At 35.8% G+C, this 22922-nt stretch overlaps 1 protein-coding gene and 1 pseudogene across 4 annotated transcripts in view; one reads left to right on the top strand and one right to left on the bottom strand.

Moving 5' to 3' along the window:
- The window catches only part of GALNTL6 (polypeptide N-acetylgalactosaminyltransferase like 6), a 1228156-nt gene that overhangs the window by 642821 nt on the left and 562413 nt on the right, over positions 1–22922 (bottom strand). The window lies entirely within an intron of this gene.
- LOC100506133 (ubiquitin conjugating enzyme E2 N pseudogene) lies at positions 18220–18908 on the top strand (annotated as a pseudogene).

Genomic DNA, 22922 nt, shown 5'->3' with positions numbered 1-22922 from the left:
TATTTTTAGGAATTGAATATATTTGTAGAGTTGATATATTATAGTTTATTGAACCAATACCTTCTTGCTGGATGTTCAGGTAGTTTACCATTATCAAGAAATCATTTCACAGGTTATCTTACTGCAATAAAGAATACATACTCTTTAACTTAGTACTGTCAGTTTCTTTCTTTCATCTCAACACATAACTCAAGCAATAAACGATTGCAAAGCTAGTCTTATTTTGAAAAGGAGAGTGCCGGTCTCTAACGGATTAAATCTAATAGCACTGCTCTTCCTCCCCTCTTATTGGACAAGGATGCCCTGAATGAGATATGAAAAAGGATAGCACTCACTTCATTATCAGCCATTGTTTTCATAAATGCCATTTAATATATGTTCATTTTATTAATGAAAGATCAGTAGCCCTCATATCTTCTTATTTTGACAGCTCATTTTAACATTGGTCCATCAAGATCACTTCTTAAGTCAGCACTGACTAATCATTTTTAATAAACATTAACTCCTTTTGTTCCTGTTCCATTATCATAATTTAAGAATATGTAATTGTTTTCCTAAATTTCTCTCCATAAAATATGTAATGTTGACAGCTAGAATTTTGTTAATGTGAAATTAGTTTGTCATCATACTAACAGTATGGTGATGAAGAAATTTTACAAAATATATTCTGCTTTAGAAATAAAACAGAAAAGACAATTGCCTGATGGTTGGCATGCAGTTAGGGAAGACAGTGGAAAGAGTTAAGAATAATAAAGAATCCAAAGAAGGACAGAAGAATCCAAAAGTAAAAAAAAAGAAAGACTTTTAGCTTGTACTATACTGGCAACAATTATATTTAGAAAAGATAAAAATAAAAGATAGTGGCCAGGCACAGTTGCTGATGCCTGTAATCCTGGCACTTTTGGAGGCCAAGGTGGGAGGATCACAAGGTCAAGAGATCGAGACCATCCTGGCCAACATGGTGAAACCCTGTCTCTACTAAAAAATACAAAAATTAGCTGGGCGTGGTAACACATGCCTGTCATCTCAGCTACTTGGGAGGCTGAGGCAGGAGAATTGCTTGAATCTGGGAGGCAAAGGTTGCGGTGAGCAGAGACCGCACCACTGCACTCCAGCCTGGCGACAGAGCGAGACTCCATTTTAAATAAATAAATAAATAAATAAATAAATAAATAAATAAATGAGATACTTATTTCTAGGAGAGTTAAATCCATTTTTTATTACAACAATAAATGTACAGCTCACATAAGGTGAGTGATTTGTTATATGGATATGACTACTCAACTCAAAAGGTCCTTGAACGTGTAAGAAATTAGCATGTGGCTCCCAGTGTTTCAATGATTATGCACGCTAACATTACAACTGTTAGGCAAAATATTACTTCTAAATCTTGCCCTCAAATTCCAGTAATGCTTTTATTATCTTAATCATTTCATGGGTGTCAAGGAGATCAATGGATTTCTATTAGCATCTAATGTGAACTCTAATATGAAAGAATTAGCATTAATACCCCAAATAGAGTCATATGTAATATGAAGACTCCTAAAACAGTTTACATCTATCACAGACCTATTAAATACTATAATTTCTAAGATTCACGCACAAGCATATAGACTATCTCTCACATGAACAAACACATATATATATACCTAGGTAGCCTCCCATCAGATATTAGTTCCATCTCGAATTTACATCTTGATGCTTACCAAAATTTTCTAGTTTTGTTAGTCATTGTAAGATAGATATAATGGTAGAAAAAATCTGCATTAACAATATAAATTTCAAGGACAGATTATATATTATTTTTAAATTTATAAAGAACATTTCTAATGATGGATGTTTTGCTATTAGTCCTGAAAGTAAGCAAACAAAATGTACTGGATGACTTATTTAACTATTGCATTCAATAAAATGTGCAAAATTAAAATTGTCTTTTAATTGCAACACACTGATAATTATATAACAATAAAGTGGCATCCATGCAATTATCTGAATAGTTTCTATTTTTTTAACACAAGCCCTGACAATATATCTCCATCAATAAACCTCACATATCCTAGAAGTTAGGACTGCAAGTTTGTTGAAACTGAGCTATGGTTGTAGTCAAAGATGTCACAAACATAACTGTACAGGTGAGTGGTTTTATTGAGAACTGGTCTTAAGTAAGGAGAAAAATATCACTGAGTTTGGGCACTGAATGGAAAACATCTCTTATTTTCAGAAACCCCTCACTTGGCTTGCACTTCCATAAACACTATTGGAAGCTACAGCTATGGGTTGCTGAGATTTTTTCTTGCCATGAAAAATGTTATGAACTCAAAAATAAATAGTAGATCTCACTTTAAATGTCCTTGCTGCAGTGAGGACTATGGTAAATCAAAACACGTAGAATATAAAGGCTTAGACTTAAAAAAAAAAAAAAGAAAAAAAAAGAAAATAGTAATTGCAGTTACGCACGCTTTAGATCGGAAGAAGGCAAGTTTCCTGGCAACATGAAGAGTAACACTCAGGGCAGACACTTTTAAACTCAAACTGCCCGAGGAAGGGCTCAGGTCAAGGAGAAAGAAGAAACTGATGACAGTGTTTTATAGTTATTATAAGGAAAAATGTACATATTTGAGATACACAGTTTTTGGTTATCAGGGCAGGAGTCTTTTCTGAAGTTGACAAAATGTGGGTATGCTGGAGTGTTTCCATGACTTTTATAATAGAATGGTGGCAGGGGCACTAGGATGATTTAAGCACTTGCTGCTTCTGTACACGTTGATTTAGCCTCTTCCATTGATTTAACTACGCGTGAAGTCAGAGAATGAAGCAGTGAATTCCATAGGTTTAGGGACTCATTTTTCTCCTCAGGGAGGCTGTATCAGGTTGTATGTTAATTATACATTAATTAATTAATGTTGCCGGTTGATTTCCACTAAAATTACATTCATGTTTAAATTTTTGAAACTAATTTTTGCCCATATTAAAAACTTTGCTATTTACTCTCCTTTAAATTTGTAATATTTCATCTCTTGTATCAATAATTATCTTGGGAAACTGGAGTTCAGGGATTATTCTTTTTCTTTATTGAACTACATTAAGTCAGACTTCTATAGATAACACAATATACATGGTCAATCCTTTCGTCAAAGGTCTGATATCTCAGAATATATTTTATTTTAGGAAAAACATCTAAACGTGTTATATACTCCTGTGCCATTAACTCTAATATATTCAAGAGAAAAATATTGTATGTTGACAATAATAAGATAGTCTAAAGGTCACAAGGTAACAACAATAAAAATATTATATTAATGGTTGTCCAAAGAATTCTGATTAAAATAAAAAATGAAAACATACAAAAAGCAGAGATTTACAACTTTTCTGTTTGACTCTAATAAATAAAACAAAATTATATTTTTTCAGTCTTTGCACACATTATTTGTAAATGTCCATAAATACAAAAGTAATGATTTTTTTTAAGCTACAAGGCATGTTTATGCAATATGACTATTGTATGAAACTTTACATTACAGAAACATATAGACTCATGGGTGTAACTCTTGACTAAGGAATGGTAGTGATGGCCTCTTTGGACATAAGTTAATTAACAATCGATTCATAAATATAGAATGCTTCTAAAGCTAGCGAAAGCCTGTCAATTTATAATTTGGGGGAGATTTTCTTGTCAGGTGCTTTGTAGTATCAATAATCCTGATAACACAGACTAAAAACATATAGAGAAAGAAACTGCTGTTCATCCTAGCACCTTCTGATGAAGTAACAGAAGATATCTGAAACACAGCTGATGAGTAAACTTAATATAAATGATAGTAATTGCTGCAATTTCTGTGTGGCAGGTAGTATAAAAGCAGCCAAAACAGACCAAATACATCATGCTAAAATTATTTCATAAACAAGGGTTCTCTGTTAGTAAATATCTGCTTGTCAGGAGGGGTGTCAGCATGCTAGAAGAAAATGTAACTGCCTCAACTTTCTTCTTTTCCAAGTGATAAAAGAAGGGCCGGGCGTGGTGGCTCATGCCTGTAATCCCAGCACTTTGGGAGGTCAAGGCAGGTGGATCACCTGAGGTCAGGAGTTCGAGACCAGCCTGGCCAACGTTGTGAAACCCCATCTCTACTAAAAATACAAAAATTAGCTGGGCGTGGTGGTGTGTGCCTGTGGCCCCAGCTACTCAGGAGGCTGAAGCAGGAGAATCCCTTGAACCTGGCAGGCGGAGGTTGCAGTGACCTAAAATTGCACCACTGCACTCCAGCCTGGGTGACAAGAGCAAAACTCCATCTCAAAAAAAAAAAAAAAAAAAAGAAGAAGAAGAAAATAAATTGCAAGACTACTGCTAATTTCTGTATATATGGCTTTTTTGTTGAAGTTGGGAACACATGTGTTACATCAAAGAAACTCCATGGCTCTCACATTATAATATGTGAATACAAATAACAATTTTTATGGTTATAATTCACTTTTGTTATATGTTTGAAAATGCTTTTCAATAAAGAGACAAATACAGCAACAGAAAGTTTAATGTTAGCTAATTATTATATAGTAATTAGTTTAAATTAGCAAGTATAAAGTAATTATAATTAGTAATTATAAAGTTGTGGTGTAAAGAAACTCAACAAAATTTAGAAGTTTTATAGGCTTATAAAAGCCAGATTACCTGTGTACCAGTTTTTAAAATAATATTAGCCATGAACAATCAACCATCTACATCTCTTTAATTTAAAACAACTTTTTATTAAACTTTTATGTATGGTTTCTTTAGTTATAATAAACAGTGGGAATAATATATATTCCATTTATCAATTTATTTAAACCTACAATGTGAGTGACTGAATTAAAATTCTGGCAAAAATTGAACATAAATATAAAATAAAATCGACACCATTTTTTGAATTCTCAGCAGAAACCTGAATAAATTAGCATTAAAATATAGTTTGAATTATTAAGACATTACAGAAGTAAAAATAAAGCACGTAATAAAAGTAGTTACATAAAGCCCAGTAGTCAGATACTCATTACCACATTTAATTGAACACAACAGGATCACTGGTGGGGCTGCCACAGGGAAATCTCGAAGACAAAAATATATGTCATTTGTACTCTCAAAATATTTTCGTATGCTATGTAAAGATTTTACATATTAGAAATGTTCAATTAAGCAAAAGATGAGATTTTTAAAAGAGACGTTAAGCTTCATCATTTAATGTGTCATTAATGAACACCTGTGATGTTTCCTGAAAATGAAACTTAATAACCTGCTACTCAGAGTGGTTGGAGTCTCTCTGTTGTCTCTTCGTTTTGTTTAATGGCAAATTTGGCCTGAGGGTAGTTATGCTAGAGCTGCAGAGAAGCTTGAGAGCTACATGAAAAAGAAGCAGAGGAGGCACTTTGTGACAATCCTGGGACAGATATGTGGAGGGGTGATGTTGCCCAGTTCCTAGAAGTGCTTATACCTTATTCTCATTTTTTCTCAAGTGTTTTCTCCTAAGGGATAGACACTCACATGTTCTATCACAAAGTTATAATAGTCACCTCTGCTGTGTTCATATATAGCAGCGGCTCCCTTTTTGGCACCAGGGCTCAGTTTCATGGAAGACAATTTTTCCACCCGGGAAGGGGGATGGTTTGGGGATGAAACTGTTCCACCTCAGATCATCAGGCATTAGTTAGATTCTCATAAGGACGGCTCAACCTAGATCGCCGGCATGCACAGTTCACAATAGGGCTTGTGCTCCAGTGAGAATCTAATGCCACCGCTGATCTAACAGGAGGTGGAGCTCAGGCAGTAATGCTTGCTGGCCCGCCACTCACGTTCTGCTGTGTGTCCAGGTTTCTTAACAGGGCGGGGACTGGTACAAGTCCGCAGCCTGGGAGTTGTGGACCCCTGATAAATAGTTATCCTCATTTCATGTATGGGAAAACAAAGGTGGAGAGAACTTGCTTCCCTTCTCAAAGGTCAAAAACCCGATAAGCTAAGCAGTAGAGATTCAAATCCACAAAACCTGGCACCAGAGCCAGGACAATTTTTAGTATATTATTTTGTATCTGCAAGAGCAAGAAACACAGATGTTTTACACAGATTTGTTCATTAAGCAGGTATGTTTTTCTCTCCAAGAAAAACTTTCAGCCAGAGCAACTCTTCCTTTAAATACTGTAAATTGCCCAGGAATGGTGGCTTATGCCTACAATCCCAGTACTTTGGGAGACCGAGGAAGGAGGATCCCTTGAGGCCACAGAGCGAGACTGCTCTATATTAAAAAAAAAAAAAAATGAATAAGAAATACTTTAAATGCTTCTGAGAGAAGTTTTTACTTGTCAAAGAGAAATTGAAGATCTAACATTTTATATTTTCTCAAAGCTTGATTGGTCTTTATAGTGTAACGAGAATGTTTCTAAAAATTCTGGTATGTGTAAAGAACAATTTTTAATTAAAATAACTATTTAGGCCAGGTATGGTGGCTCATGTCTGTGATTCCAGCATTTTGGGAGGTCAAGGCGGGCAGATCACCTGAGCTCTGGAGTTTGAGACCAGCCTGACCAATATGGTGACACCCTGCCTCTACTAAAAATATGAAAATTAGGGGGGTGTGGTGGCGTACACCTGTAATCCCAGCTACTCCGGAGGCTGAGGCAGGAGAATCGCTTGAACCCAGGAGGCAGAGGTTGCAGTGAGCCGAGATCGTGCCACTGCATTCCAGCCTGGGCTACAGAGCAAGACTCCATCTCAAAGAAAAAAAAAACTGTTTAAAATTTTTTGAGTTAAAAAGTTGATTAGCATTATCTTAGTTTATTTTTCTCATTAGTGTGTCCTTTCAATCGATATTGGAAATCAGCTGGAAAAGGAACTTATTTTAGTTCCTTTAAGGCTTTGTAGAGTGAAATTCTTGAAACCATTACATATCCCTCTGTCTAGTAATAGGCCTGATTAGTCAGTACAAAATCCTTTCTATGTGTTTGGCAAAACAAAGTTCACAAATAAACAGTAGTAAGAGATCAGTTGTTTAGAAATTATGTTTGTCATCTTACAAACACTCCCAATGTCACCCAATGTCACCAGAAGCTTCTTAGTTGCTGCTATGGTTAGAATGTGTCCCTCCAAAATTCAGATGTTGAAATGTAATGGCCAATTTGATGGTAATAACAGGGGCCTGCCTTTAAGAGGTAATCAAGTCATAAAGCCTCTTCCACTTGTGAATGAAATTAAAGCCCTTATGAAGGAGGCTTCTGAGCCAGGCACGGTGGCTCACACCTGTAATTTCAGCTCCTCCAGAGGCTGAGGTGAGAGGATTGCTTGAGCCCAAGAGTTCAAGGCTGCAGTGAGTTATGATCATGACACGGACTTTCAGCTCTGGGCAACAGAGCAAGACCCCATCTCTATTAAAAATAAAAAGTAAAAGAATAGAAGTGGCTCCTCACAGTGTTCATCCCTCTTGCTCTTCTTCTTTCTGCAAGGTGAGGACACAGCGTTCCTCTCCTCACAAAGACACTCTTCAAGGAACTGTCTTGAAAGCAGAGACCAGACCCTCACCAGAGAGCAGAACTGTGAGAAATAAATTTCTATTCCTTATAAATTATTCAGTCTGTGGTATTTTGTTATAGCAGCACACATGGACCAAGACAGTTGCCCACATCCACAATGATATTGAGCTTATTGAAATTTGAGTATGATGGTTCTCATTTACCTAGTCTATAAATTAGTTTTTAAACACTGAAGTAATGTAACTCATTTAAAGTGTAAATAACATTGACTTGATTTAATACAATTAACCACTGTTCTTCTCTATTTTTTTTCATAAGAGTGCCTTAACTCACTGTATGACTTGTTTAGGAATGCCAAGATTTCTGATTTACATGTCCTGTTTGTAATCAAAGCTCCTAGGAGCCTCAATGTAAAGTCTTTTTGCATTTTATCTTATCTGTGTTTAAATATAACACTATTAATTAAAGCTTTTTTGCTTTTTGCCTCTCATTTGAACAAAATATCGCATTTTACGTCATACTTAGTTATATTTATTATTTTCTGGAAATACAGTAGTCCCCCCTTATCCATGAGGGATATGTATCAAGACCTCCAGTTGATATCCAAAACCATAGGTAACACTGAATTTTGTATAAACTATGCTTTTCTATCTGATAACTGAGATGACTACTAAGTGGCTATTGGGCAAGTAGCACATGCTGCGTAGACATGCTGGACAAAGGGATGATTCACATCCTGGGCAGGACTGAGCAAGTAGGTGTGAGATTTTATCATGCTACTCAGAGTGGTACATAATTTAAAACTTATCAATTGTTTATTTCTGAAATTTTCCATTTAATATTTTCAGACTGCCAATGACTGTGGGTAACTGAAAGTGCAGAGAACACAAGCATGAGTAAGGGAGCATTACTGTAACATGGTTTTTGTTCTGTTAATTAAAGTTTAAACAGTCCATAGTGGCTCTATTTCATAAACAATCCATGGTAACCCAAGAGTATGTTAAAAGCATCAATTGCAAACATAGCTATTAGATTACAACGTTTGAAAAATAAGTCAATTTTTAAAATATTAAACAATAGGCCCCTAAAATATTTTATGTTATTTTCTTTGGGTTAAAAAAGTAATGACCTTTATTTTGCTAAAGGAAATTTAAATAATAAGAAAAAAATTTAAATAGCAGAAATTGTTCCATTGAGTTTTTTTGCATTCAACTACAATACAAATGTGAGAAAGTATATCATTCATCACTTCCAAGCAATCTGTTATACAGTGTGGATCTGTCGCTAAATTAAATTCAAATGGTCAAATGGGAACATAAAGGTATCATTTTTAAAGAAAAACTAGCAACTGTTATTTTTTAAAATCATGAACTAAAGGAAGCTTCTTTTTTAGTAATACCTTAGTTTTATTGTCCTCCAGCAGCCCTTTACTCAACTAATTCGATATATTACAGTAAGAAAATATTAAGCATATAAAAAGCTATGTATCCACCATCTGGGTTTGTCAAATATTGTTACTTAAGTCATATTTGTTCTACATACTTTCTTTTATTGATTAAGAAATAAAACTTAAAATGAAGCTGAAGACTGAAGCCATGTAGTTCTCTATGATTTTATTTACCTCCTACCTTCTTCAGATGCAGCCAATACACTGAGCTTGGATTTTAGCTTAACTTATGTGTTATATACATCTACTCATTTTATTTCAATTACTACATAAACAGAACTTATTACAATTTTCAACTTAACTTTTATTTACATTCACGACTTAATTTCTAACCTTTTAATAAATATGCATTCCCATAATTTCTGCAATAAATCTTGGAAGCATTTGACCATTCATTAATCTTTGGAAAGAACAAAATTACTGATTTGTTAAAATGCACCACTGAGTACTTTTTTTTCCTACATCAATGATTTCTAGTCTTACTTTAATTATATCTTTCTTTTTCTCTTTTTTTCTGCTGTTATTTTTAAAACATTTTGAATTAGACATAGTTAATAAATTTTATCCTAGTTGGGAAACATTTAATAAATTAATTATTACTAAATGTGTCAGAAAAACATTTAAATATGTATTAAAATATGAAGTAGGTAGAGATGTCTTATTCCATACAATCCTAAAGAATTTCATGTGAACACAAACTAAAATGTAGGTCATAGTTCCTGAAATTACGTCTTGTCTAATATAATCATATAGCATACATTTCTGAATTTTAAATTCGGAGGATGATTTTAAAAAACTAACTTTAAGCTATTAGAAATATTAGGAATTGGAAAAACCAAGAAAATAAAGTTCACCAAAAATATAGATATAGATATAGATATAGCACAGCTTTTCTGGTTGCTTATTTTTAAATGGCTAATAATATAGATCATGATTTCATTTTTTGGGAGGATGTCATGTAAGTATGGTACCCGCTACCCCCGAAGCAGGTTGCTAACACTAAATACAGTGTGCATAAAATTAGATATCCTACATAGGAGGCAAGTTATTTCCTCAAATTTTTTTCTCATCAATATTATGGTTTTAGTACTAGGACAAGGGCATCTTTTTTAACAGATGAATATGAATTCCAGAAATTACTCTTATGGGGAGTGGATACACTAATATAGCAAATTACAATTTAGTTGAAGCAGATAAAATGCTAATGCCAAATCTCAGTGAAATAATCTAGGTTTCATTTGAAAAAACCTCCTTTTGAATATGTAATGTCTCTTGGATGTTGAAGTAAATACCTTACCAAGGTTACTCTAATTTTCTAAATAACTTTCCTAATAAATGTCTTTATTCTTCCACAAAAATACTTTCTGTGGCATATATGTAAACTTTATCTTACACTAAAAGAACCACCAAAATGAAGATTAGCAACTTTGAAGTGTCAACTAGAATTGATTCAAATATTCAAAGCACTAGAGCATTGCGTTCTATGATTTTAAATTGACCAATGTATGGTATTTCTAAAACGAAAAAATAGCAACAACAGCAGACAGATGCTCCATCTACATTAAACTCTCCTACTGTACTCACAAGTCTTAGAGCCAAGTGGCTGAGCTCATGAGCTCTGGAATAAGCAAAACTGGGGCTAAGTACTATATTGGGATGTTAAAATAGGATGTATCTGTTAAAAATGGTGATAACAAAGTAACACTTGGATTTGTTAGGAGAAGTAAAAAACAGAGCACATCAAAATGGTGCCTATTTTGATCGTATCCAACATGCAAGTGAGTAACTATACTTTGTGATGAAAGGTATGACTGCTTTAAAAGAGGTACATTTGTATTAGATTGTGGAGTGGAAATGTATTTGAGAGGAAAGTAATATTTATGGTAAAGATGAAGTTTGAAGAACAAATATAAGTTGTTTGAAAATGTCTCAGAAGGAGGATACAGCATGAGCAAAAAAACAGAGGCAGGATAGTTAAAACAATGTTCAGTAATAGGAAGAACATTTTAGTTTATAAAAACTGAAGGAAATGTAGACTTGGCAGAAGAAGGTGAAGAGACAGGGGACAAGATCATGGACTGCTTAGAGAGGATTTGAAGAAATAATTACCAATATATCCCAAATTTGATTAAAAATCAATCTACATATACAAGAAACTCAGTGAATTATAAGTAAGAAAAACTCAAAAAGCCACATTTAGACACATCATATACAAACTGTCAAAGGCAAAGACAAAAAGAGAAGATAGAAAGCAGCAAGAGAAAAATGACTCATTGGGTATAAGGTATCTTCAATAAGATTAACAGTTGACTTCTAATCCAAAAGGACAGAGTTCAGGAGGTAGCAGCATATTCAAAGTGTAAGAAGTCAACCAAAAAGTTTATATTCAGAAAATCAATTTTTCAAAAAGGAAAGAGAAAATAAAACATTCTCAGATAAACAAAAACTTAGTGATTTCATTTCTGTCATATCTGTACTACAGAAAATACCAAAGAAAGAAACCTTAGGCTGAAATGAAAAGACAATAGATAAAAACATTACTTCACAGGAAGAAATAAAAGGGACTATTATTAAAGATTACTACATAGGTGCTATGAATTACATGTTTGTGTACACTCTGCTCCAAATTTCTATGTTGAAACCATACTCCCATAGAAGGTTATTTGGAGGTGGGCCCTTTGGGAGGTAATAAAATTATGAGGGTGGGGCCCTCAGGATGGTATTAGTACCTGTGATCATTAATTTTGGCTGTCACCTTGACTGGATTGAAGTATACACAGATAGCTGGTAAAATATTAATTATTCTTAATGCTTCAATAGGCATTGAGCCTGTCTCTCCTCTGCTGAAAAGGAAACTCAGATGGTTTGGCATTTGATTGGAATGGTTGGGCTTCTCCAGGTGTACCTATGAGGGTATTTCTGGAGTAGATTGGCCTTTGAGTTGGTAGGTTGAGTGGCAAAGATCTGCCTTCAATGTGGGTAGAAACTATCCAATTGGCTGGGGGCAAGCTTGGAACCAAAAAGCAGAGGGTAAATTTTTCTCCCTCTTCTGAAAATGGGACACCCTTCTCCTGTCTGTGGATGTCAGAACTCCAGATTCTCCAGCCTTTGGACTCTGAAACTTGAACCAGCAGTTGAGTTACTCCATTGGCTTCCCTGGTTCTGAGGCTTTCAGACTTAGGCTGAGCCATGATGCTTACTTCTCTGGTTCTCCAGCTTGCAGCTTATCATGGAACTTCTCAATCTACATAATTGAGTGAGAGAATTGCCCTAATAAATCCCTTCTCACCTCTCTCTCTCTTTCTCGCTCTCACTTTCCCTCTCTTATTAGTTCTGTCTCTCTGCAGAATGATTATAACAATACTCTCATGAAGAGACAAGAGAGAGCTTGCTTCCTCTCTCTCTGCCCTCTACCATGTGAGGGTACAATGAGAAGATGGTCATCTTAAAACCAGGGAAAGTGTCCTTACCAGACACCAGATCTGCCAGTACTTTGATCTTGGACTTTCCAGACTCCAGAGCTGTGCAAAAAAATATGTGTGCTCTTTAGGCCACTCAGTGTATGTATTTTTGTTATAGCAGCCTGAATTGACTAAGGCAATAGGTAAATATAAAAATTATTATTAATGTATTTTTGTAAATTTTTTCTTCTCCTATCTGATTTAAAAGGCATTGAATAAAGCTATAACTATAAAACTGTGTTTTTCAGCTTATAATGAATAAAGATACAATTTGGGATTAAATAATAGCATAAAGCAGGAGTACATAGAACAAAGCTCTTTTATAGCAAATTTTTGTATAATATTGACTTTAGTTGACATTAACGTGAACTAGATTGCTTTAAGTTAATTGTAATTTCTACTATAATCTTTAGAAAAATATATATATGTGTGTGTGTGTATAAACAATAAATGTAATAAATAGTACACTTGAAAATATGTATATGTAACCGAAGAAAAAACAGTAATGGAAGAATAGAAGAACAAAGAAGCAAAAGACATGGTAAAAATAAATAATGTACAAATTCTATCTTACCAGTAATTACATTAAAAGTCAATTAAGTAATTAAGTAAAACTCCAATGAAAAGGAAGACATTGGAAGAATGGATTTTATAAAAATGATCCAATGATATTTTGTCCACAAGATTCAAAGACATAATAGGTTGACAGTAAAAAGACAAAAATGAGATATACTATACAAACAGTAACTAAGAGCTGTTATCAATATTTTAAAAAATAGATTGTAAAACAAAAATTGATATAAAAGCAAAACATATATATATTTTATAATGAAAAAAGGGTCAATTATTCAGCAATACATAACAAGTATAAATACATGTGAACCACAGGAAAAAGTCTCAAAGTACACACAGCAAAAACTAAGAAAACTGAAAGACTAATTGATAATTCAGTGATAAATATTGAAGATTTCAATGTTGCACTTTCAACAATGAATAGAACAACTAGGCAGGAGATCATGAAGAAAACAGAAGACTTAAACAGCACTAGAAACCACGTATAACCATAATCTATAGAATACGCAATCATAGCAGAATATATTAAGACATTTTTGTCAGGTACTCATGAGTTCCTTGATAAACCATATGCTAGTCTATAAAACATACCTCGATAAATTTAAAAGGTATTAAATTGTTCATCATCTCTTCTTGAAACAAAATTAAAAACAAAAATCAATAACAGAAGAATAATTAGAAAATTGAAACGTATGAAAATTAAAGAACACACTTCTAAATAACCAATGGGTAAAAAAAAAAAAACAAAAAAACAAAACAACAACAAAAACGAAACAAAACACACACACACACACACACACACAAAATTACAACATAACATAATTGAAATGAATGAAAGTAAAAACCCAACACAACAAACCTTAGCCAGTCACAGTGGCCCATGTCTATAATTTCAGTTACTCAGAGGCTGAAACAGAAGGAACAATTGAGCCCAGGAGTTCAGGGTTAGGCTGGGAAACATAATAAGGCCCTGTCTCTAATAAAACGAACAAACAAACCTTTTGGGATGCAGCTAAAGCATTCTTTAAAGGGAAATTTATGTCTGTAAACGCCAGTATAAAGCAAGAAGAATTTCAAATCAATAACCTAACCTTCCATCTAAAGAAATTAGGAAAAGTAAAAATGCAAACAACACAAAGCAATGAGAAAGAAGGTAATAATAGTATTAAGGGTAGAAATTAATGAATAGACAGTAGAAAAAAAAACAATAAAGAAAACTAACAAAACCAAAACTTTAACAAAATTGCCAGACTTTTAGCTAGACAAAACAAGATGAAGTGAGAGAAAATGTAAATTACAAATCAGGAATGAAGAAAGCAACATTGTTATTGGCCTTAGAGAAATTTAAAAAAAAATTAAGAGGGAATACTATGAACTACTGTGGTCCCACAAATTAGATAACCTAGATTAAAAGGACAAATTTTTAGATACAACACAAACTACCAAAGCTGACTCAAGGATAAATAAAAAATCTGGAAAGATCTATAACAAGTAAAGAGATTGAAACAGTAATTAGGAAAACTACCCACAAAGAAAAGTTTGGGCCCTACTTCACTTCACCTGCTTCACTGATGAACTCTATCAAACATTTAATTAATACCAGTTTTTAACAAATTCTTGCAAAAAGTAGAAGAGGAAGGAACACTTTCAACTTATTCTGTGTATTACCTTGATACCAAAACCAGACAACTATCACAAGAAAAGAAAACTATACATTAACATCTCTAATAAATACACAAATAAAAATCCTCAACAAAATACTAACAAACCAAATGCAGACCCATATTAAATGAATTATACTCCATTAACTAGTGGTTACTACACTAGGAATGCAAGGTTGATATAACATCCAAAAATCAATCAGGATAACACATCATATTAATAAAGGACAAAAATCACATAAGCATTTTCATAGAAGTAGAAAAGTATTTGACAAATCCATCATCCTTACATGATAAGAGCTTTCAAGAAAAATAAGAATAGAAGGGAACTCCTGAACCCGATGAAAAGCATCTACCAAATAGAAGGGAACTTCCTAAACTTGATTATCCACAGCTAATATCACACTTAAGCAGGAAAGACTACATGCTTTCAATCTTAGATCAGAAACAGGATAAGGATGTCTGCTCTCACCTTTTTATTCAACATTGTCCTGTAGATTCTAACCAGGACAATTATGCAAGCAAAGGAAGTAAGTATTCAGATTGGAAAGAGGCAAAATCGTGACGACTCACAGATGGCATGCTCTTGTATATAGAGAATCCTGAGAATTTCACACAAAAATTAGAACTAATAATTCCAGCAAGATTGCAGAATTCAAAGTCAATATCCAAAATCAATTGGATGTCTATACATTAGTAATGAAAAGTCTAAAAATGAAATGAAGAAAACAATTTTATTTATAATAGCACAAAAAACAATCACTTATAAATAAGTGTAACAAAAGTTCAATAATTGTACATTGAAGACTACAAATTTTGTTGAAAAAAGTTACAGAAAATCTAAAAAAAATGAAAAGAACTGGAAGACAATATTGTTAAGATGGCAATACTCTCCAATTTGGTACACGGATTCAATGCAATGTCTACCAAAAAAATCAATTACCTTTTTCTAAAAAAATTGACAAGCTGATCCTAAAATATACATGAGAATGTAATGGCTCCAGAATAGTCAAAGTAACACTTAAAAAGAATATCAAAGTTGGAAGATTAATACTTCCTGATAATGAGATTTATTACAGAACTATAATAATACAGTGTGTACTACATAAGAACAGACAAATAAATAGAATTGAGCATCCAGAAATATAGCTTACATTTATGATCGTTTGATTTTAGATTTGAATTCCAAAAATATTTAATGGGGAAAAAACAGTCCTTTAAAAATTGTGTGAAAATAGTCTTCACAATTGCCTTTTCAACCCAATTATGGGTTGAAAAGAATAGTCTTTTCAAAGTTCTTCAGGCAAAGAATTTATTTGGACCCCCTATTTCACACAATAGGCAAAAATGAACCTAAATTGGATTTAAATCTAAGTGTAAAAGCCAAAATTACAAAACTTTTAGAAGAGAGAACATACGGGAAACTTTGCATGACGTTTTGTTAAGCAATGGTTTTTTAGACATAACACCAAAAGTATGAGACAAAAACATCTAGGAAATTGAACTTTATCAAAATTTTAAAATTAGTGTATCAAAGGACACATAAAGAAATGAAGAAACAATGCACACAATAGAAGAATATGCTTACAAATTATATATTTGATACATTACTTGCACTCAGAATATATTAAGATTTATTACAACTCAACAATGAAAGAAGAAATTAAAAAATAGGCAAAAGGCTGGAGTACATATTTCTCCCAAGAAAGACAAAAGACTGACAAGTACATAAAACGATGCTCAACATCATTATTCATTAGGTAAATATAAATCAAAACCTCAATGAAATACTACCTCACACCTAATAGAATAACCAAACTTAAAAAAAAAAAAAGACAATATTGGCTGGGCGTGGTGGCTCACTCTTGTAATCCCAGCACTTTGGGAGGCCAAGGCAGGTGGATCACCTGAAGTTAGGAGCTCCAGACCAGCCTTGCCAAAATGGTGAAACCCCTGTCTCTACTAAAACTCCAAAAATTAGCCAGGCATGGTGATTGGCCTGTAGTCCCAGCTACTTGGGAGCCTGAGGCAGGAGAATTGCTTGAACCCAGGAGGTGGAAGTTGCAGTGAGCCAAGATCGTGCCATTGCACTCCAGCCTGGGCAACAAGAGCGAAACTCCATCTCAAACAAACAAAATATCCAGTGTAGATGAAGACATGGAAAAAAATGAAAATTCTCATAAATTTCTGGTTTTAAAATGAAGCAGCCATTTTGCAAAGTTGTTTGGCAGGTCCTCAAAATATTACACATTGTTTTTTGTGCTATCATAAATAAAATGATTTTCTTCATACCATACACTGCAGCAATTTGACTCCTAAGTATACACTCAAGTGGAATAAACATATCTGTCTTTATAATCACTGACACATCAATGTTCATATTTGCATTATTGATAATAGTCAAAAAGTGGAAACAATCTAAATGTCCATCAACTGATGAATCAATAAACACAGATGTGATATATCCATATAATATTTCATTATTGTTATAGCTCATAAAAAGGAATTAAATATTGATACATGCTACAAAATGAACAAGCCTCAGAATAATATAATAAAGGAAAAAAGCAAGCCACAGATGACTACATATTTAATTATTCTATTTATATAAAATCTCCAGAACAGGCAAATCTGAAGAGAAAGAAGGTAGATTACTGGTTACCAGAAAACTGGGAGTAGGGAGGAATGGGAGTGACTGCTCTTGGGTGTGGGGTTCCTTTTGGGGGTGATGAAACTATTATAAGATTGGATAGTGATGATGGTTGCACAATTCCATCAATATTCTAAAAACCACTGAATTGTACACTTTAATATGGTCAATTTCATGCTAGGTGAATTATATACCAATAAGCCTTTCATTACAAAAAGTAAAAAGGAAATAGCTTTAAAGGAAATAATCATTTGTTTCATCCAAAGCATAGGTCTTAACTTCTTTGTCCAAAATTCTGACAGAAAATAACAAATAATAAAAAGTAAGTATAATCTTCACAGGAATTTTTAAAGGTTTATTCCACCTCACTCTATTGTTTTGTTACAATGCCTTCAGCAAATTGCAGGAATTCATAAAGCTTGCCTGATAGAGGGCAGCTGAATAAAATTTACAGTTCAAAGTATGACAGGAGCACAAACTGTTAAAATAACATTCAGATTTATCAGATTATCTCTTTAATTTAACTGTTATAAAAATAAATTTATTTTCACACAGTACAAAATTTATTCTCATTATCATTCTATTGCAAAAAGGAAAAGGAATAAACAATCTGACAAGCTGAAAATCAGCAAAACAACTGAAATTACTTTAAGGATAAGATGTTCTAAATGTCTATTGTAATAAACAAAACAAAACAATTGAATATGACTGTAGTAGAGTGTCTCTTCTCTTTCGTGGTAAATTATATGGAATATGTTTTCAGATTTCAATTACATTTTTAAAGCTTTAAGGAAAGAGTTCTTCTTTGTGGTTCTGAAATACCATTAAAATAGATTACTTATGTTAATTGATGCATATTAAACAGTGACAATCGTTCTTTCTTTCCCTACTAAAGTGTACATCTTTGTACATTGAAAACAAGGATATATAAACTAGAAGTTAGAGACCAGAGACCCAACTCAGGACCTGACAAGATGGCTGGGCTGCCCAGCAGGATCGTCAAGGAAACCCAGCTTTTGCTGGCAGAACCAGTTCCTGGCCTCAAAGCAGAACCATATGAGAGCAACATCCATTATTTTCATGTGGTCATTGCCAGTCCCTGGGATTCCCACTGTGAGGGAGGGACTTTTAAACTTGGACTATTTCTTCCAGAAGAATACCCAATGGCAGCCCCTAAAGTGCGTTTTATGACCAAAATTTGTCATCCTAATGTAGACAAGTTGGGGAGAATACGTTAAGATATTTTGAAAGGTAAGTGGTCCCCAGCCCTGCAGATCCGCACAGTTCTGCTACGGATCCAGGCCTTGTTAAGTGCTCCAAATCCAGATGATCCATTAGCAAATGATGCAGAGGAGCAGTGGAAACACCAACGAAGCCCAAGCCATATAAACAGCTAGAGCAGGGACTAGGCTATATGCCATGAATAATATTTAAATTGATCCGATCATCAAGTATGCATCACTTCTCCTGTTCTGCCAAGACTTCTTTCTTTTGGTTTACATTTAATGGACAAGGTCTTAGAAACACTACAGAATAAAAGCCCAGACTTCTTCAGTCCTTTGGTGATTAAATGCACATTAGCAAATCTATGTTTTGTTCTGATTCACTGTCAAAAAGTATGAGCAGAGGCTAGAAGTATCGTCTGGACTGTTGGGAAACGTTTAAAAGCAGTGGCCCCTCTCTGCTTTTATTCATTTCCCCAAGCCTGGTTTAAGTGTAAAGCACTGTGAATGAAGGTAGTTGTCAGGTTAGCTCCAGGGGCGTGGGTGTTTTTATTTATTTTATTTTATTTTATTTTATTTTATTTTTTTCAGGGGGGAGGTAGTTTTATTTTAATTTATGAGCTCCTTTCCCACCTTTTTTTGGTGATCTAATTGCATTGATTAAAAGCAGCTAACCCGTTCTTTTTTTTTTTTTTTTTTTTTGAGACGGAGTCTCGCTCTGTCGCCCAGGCCGGACTGCGGACTGCAGTGGCGCAATCTCGGCTCACTGCAAGCTCCGCTTCCCGGGTTCACGCCATTCTCCTGCCTCAGCCTCCCAAGTAGCTGGGACTACAGGCGCCCGCCACCGTGCCCGGCTAATTTTTTGTATTGTTAGTAGAGACGGGGTTTCACCTTGTTAGCCAGGATGGTCTCGATCTCCTGACCTCATGATCCACCCGCCTCGGCCTCCCAAAGTGCTGGGATTACAGGCGTGAGCCACCGCGCCCGGCCTAACCTGTTCTTTAGAATATGTTCCCTAGCCAAGTCTAACTTTATTTAGATGCTGTAGATGGACAAGCTTGATTGTTTGAACCAGAATGGGAACATTAAACAAACATCACAGCTCTCAATAATAACACTGTGACTTTGCTGTCAAGTATAGATTCTCCCCTTCAGAAAAAGCTTGTGACCATTTTGTATGGCTTGTCTGGAAACTTCTGTAAGTCTTATGTTTTAGTAAAATGTTTTTTGTTATAAAAATAAATGAAAATGAAAATAAACTAAAAGACTAAATTCTACCAGAATAATATATATCTTAGACTTATTCCTTCTGGTGTTGAATATTGAAAGGATTTACATAAAATCTTGAACATAAAACACTTAATAAAATTAACTTCTATAATCATTTTCATAAAAATAAAATATAATCAATCTCATCCAGTTTTTAATGTACAGTCTCTCAAAAATATATTTCTCAAAAATTTTGGCTTATAATGGATACATGTTATAAATCAAGGTATATACACTATATTTCTTCACATTGTATATTATTAATAATTTATGATATTACTCAGCATTAAAGTTCTAGGATAAAAAAACTTCTAGAGTAGTAACTATAAATTATAATAATCTTTATTCATCTGAATATATATCAATTTTTTTTAAAAAACAACAAAACCAAACATCTTTCTAATTTATCTCAAAGTATGGTTAATTCGAATTCCATCAAATCACTGGTATTTCAATAATCACGTGTTTAGTTTCCTGTATTTTTAAGATAAATACACAATTAGTGTTATCGAATTAATTAACATTAATTTTGTGCTTAACTGTTTCCAGATTAAACAAGTAATATCTTTTCACCTTCCCAGCAACCTTTCTGATGCTGGTAATGTTATTATATTTCATTTCCTGAACATGGAAATAGAGGCTGAAGCAAGGTCCTTTTTCCTTGAATCGGCTTCCCTGCTTTCAAGCATCAGGGTCTATTCCTGAGGATTCTACTCAGGCTCTGGAACTGCCAAGTGTTGCTTTCACACGCAACAAGGACTTATTTAAGAACTATAACTTCAATATTAGAACTCTGTATCAGAATATCATATAGCAGATAACTCGGGCGGCTCTTTTGGTTAAAGGTGACTGGAAAAGTATGATAGTCACAGTGAGAGGTGACAACGTGCTGGCAGCCCTCACTCGCTCTTGGTGCCTGCTTAGCGGCCTCAGCATCCACTCTGGCCATGCTTGAGGAGCCCTTCAGCCTGCCGCTGCACTGTGGAAGCCCCTCTCTGGGCTGGCCGAGGCCAGAGCCAGCTCCCTCTGCTTGTGGGGAGGTGTGGAGGAAGAGGCATGGGGGGGGGGATCTGGTGCTGCGTGCAGCGCTCGCGGGCCAGCGTGAATTCTGGGTGGGTGTGGGCTCAGCAGGCCCCGCACTCAGAGCGGCCAGCCTGTGCAGCCAGCCCTGGGCAGTGAGGGGCTTAGCACCTGGGCCAGCGTCTGCGGAGGGTGCACCAGGTACCCCAGCACTGCCAGCCTACCCGTGCCGCACTAGAATTCTTGCCAGGCCTCAGCTGCCTCCCTGTGGGGCAGGGCTTGGGACCTGCAGCCCACCATGACCGAGCTCCCCCACAACCGGTGGGCTCCCGTGTGGCCCGAGCCTCCCTGATGGGCACCGGCCCCTGCTCCACGGCACCCAGTCCCATCGACTGCCCAAGGGCTGAGGACTGCGGGCGCACTGAGTGGGACTGGTGGGCAGCTCCGCCCATGGCCCCAGCACGGGATCTGCTAGGCGAAGCCAGCTGGGCTCCTGAGTCAGGTGGGGACTTGGAGAACTTTTATGTCTAGCTAAAGGATTGTGAACGCACCAATCAGCACTCTGTGTCTAGCTAAAGGTTTGTAAACACACCAATCAGCACTCTGTATCTAGCTAATCTGGTGGGGACCTGGAGAACTTTTATGTCTAGCTAGAGGATTGTAAATGCATCAATCAGCACTCTGTGTCTAGCTCAGGGATTGTAAACGCACCAATCAGCACTCTGTCAAAACATACCAATCAGCTCTCTATAAAACAGACCAACTAGCTCTCTGTAAAATGGACCAATCAGCTCTCCGTAAAATGGACCAATCAACAGGATGTGTTTGGGGCCAGATAAGGGAATAAACGCAGGCTGCCCGAGCCAGCAGTGGCAACCCACTTGGGTCCCCTTCCACACTGTGGAAGCTTTGTTCTTTCGCTCTTCACAATAAATCTTGCTGCTGCTCACCCTTTTGGTCTGCGCTGCCTTTATGAGCTGTAACACTCACCACGAAGGTCTCCAGCTTCACTCCTGAAGCCAGCGAGACCATGAACCCAACAGAAGGAAGAAACAACACATCTGAACATCTGAAGGAACAAACTCCAGACACACCATCTTTAAGAACTGTAATACTTATCACGAGGGTCTGCGGCTTCATTCTTGAAGTCAGTGAGACCAAGAACACACCAATTCCAGATACATTTTGGCAACCACGAAGAGACTATTGCCTATCGCCAAGCGGTGAGACAACTGCCTGTCACCAAGCGGTGAGACCATCACCTATCGCCAAGCGGTGAGTACCATCGGACCCCTTTTGCTTGCTATTCTGTCCTATTTTTTCTTAGAATTCAGGGGCTAAATACCAGGCACAGTTAAAAGCGACTAGCGTGGCTGCCAGACTGAAGACACAGGTGTCAGGCTTTCTGAGAAAGGGCTGTCTAACAACCCCTGACTCTTCGGAGTTGGGAGCGTTGGTTTGCCTGGAACCAGCTTCCACTTTTCCTGTTTTCCTGGGCTGAGTCGAGGGTCGACAGAGAGGAAAGCCATTCAGCTCCGGGGTGCCGACAACAAGTTGGTTGACCATGCGGCCATGAGCAGAACTCTCAAAGGCATGTCACCCAAGCAAGACTAGCCCATCTATTCTATCTACCCTGACCCTTGACTCCTGGGTCCTAATGCCTGCCAGACAAAACTTCCTCTCACCTCTCTTCTCTGAGGCTAGTCCCTCTTCTAAAAATCACTCCCTGTCTCTGGTGATTTTCTATTTTCTCCTGTAAGAATGATTTCTAGTATAAACTCCAGGATTCTGTTATCTTCTTTAGGCACCTGGGCTCACTAATCAGAAGGACACAATTTTTGCCCAAAGCCCTGTTGTAGGGGAGACTACCTGGAATTTTAGGATCCCTCCTCAGACAAGCAGGCCTAACAAAAGCTATTCCTGAAGGTAGGATATGGGTAGCCTCAGAAATTGTATCCTTCCTATTCATGTAAGTGAGGACAAAGGGCATCACTCTTCCAACTCTGGAGATCCCTTCCCTCCCTCAGGGTATGGCCCTCCACTTCATTTTTGGGGCATAACATCTTTATAGGACACGGGTAAAGTCCCAATACTAACAGGTGAATGCCTAGGACTCTAACAGGTTTTTGAGAA

This window comes from Homo sapiens, chromosome 4 (genome assembly GCF_000001405.40).
Source record: "Homo sapiens chromosome 4, GRCh38.p14 Primary Assembly".
NCBI lineage: Eukaryota > Metazoa > Chordata > Mammalia > Primates > Hominidae > Homo > Homo sapiens.
The sequence above is the reverse complement of the archived record's forward strand: the minus strand, read 5'-3'. Positions and strand labels throughout refer to the sequence as shown.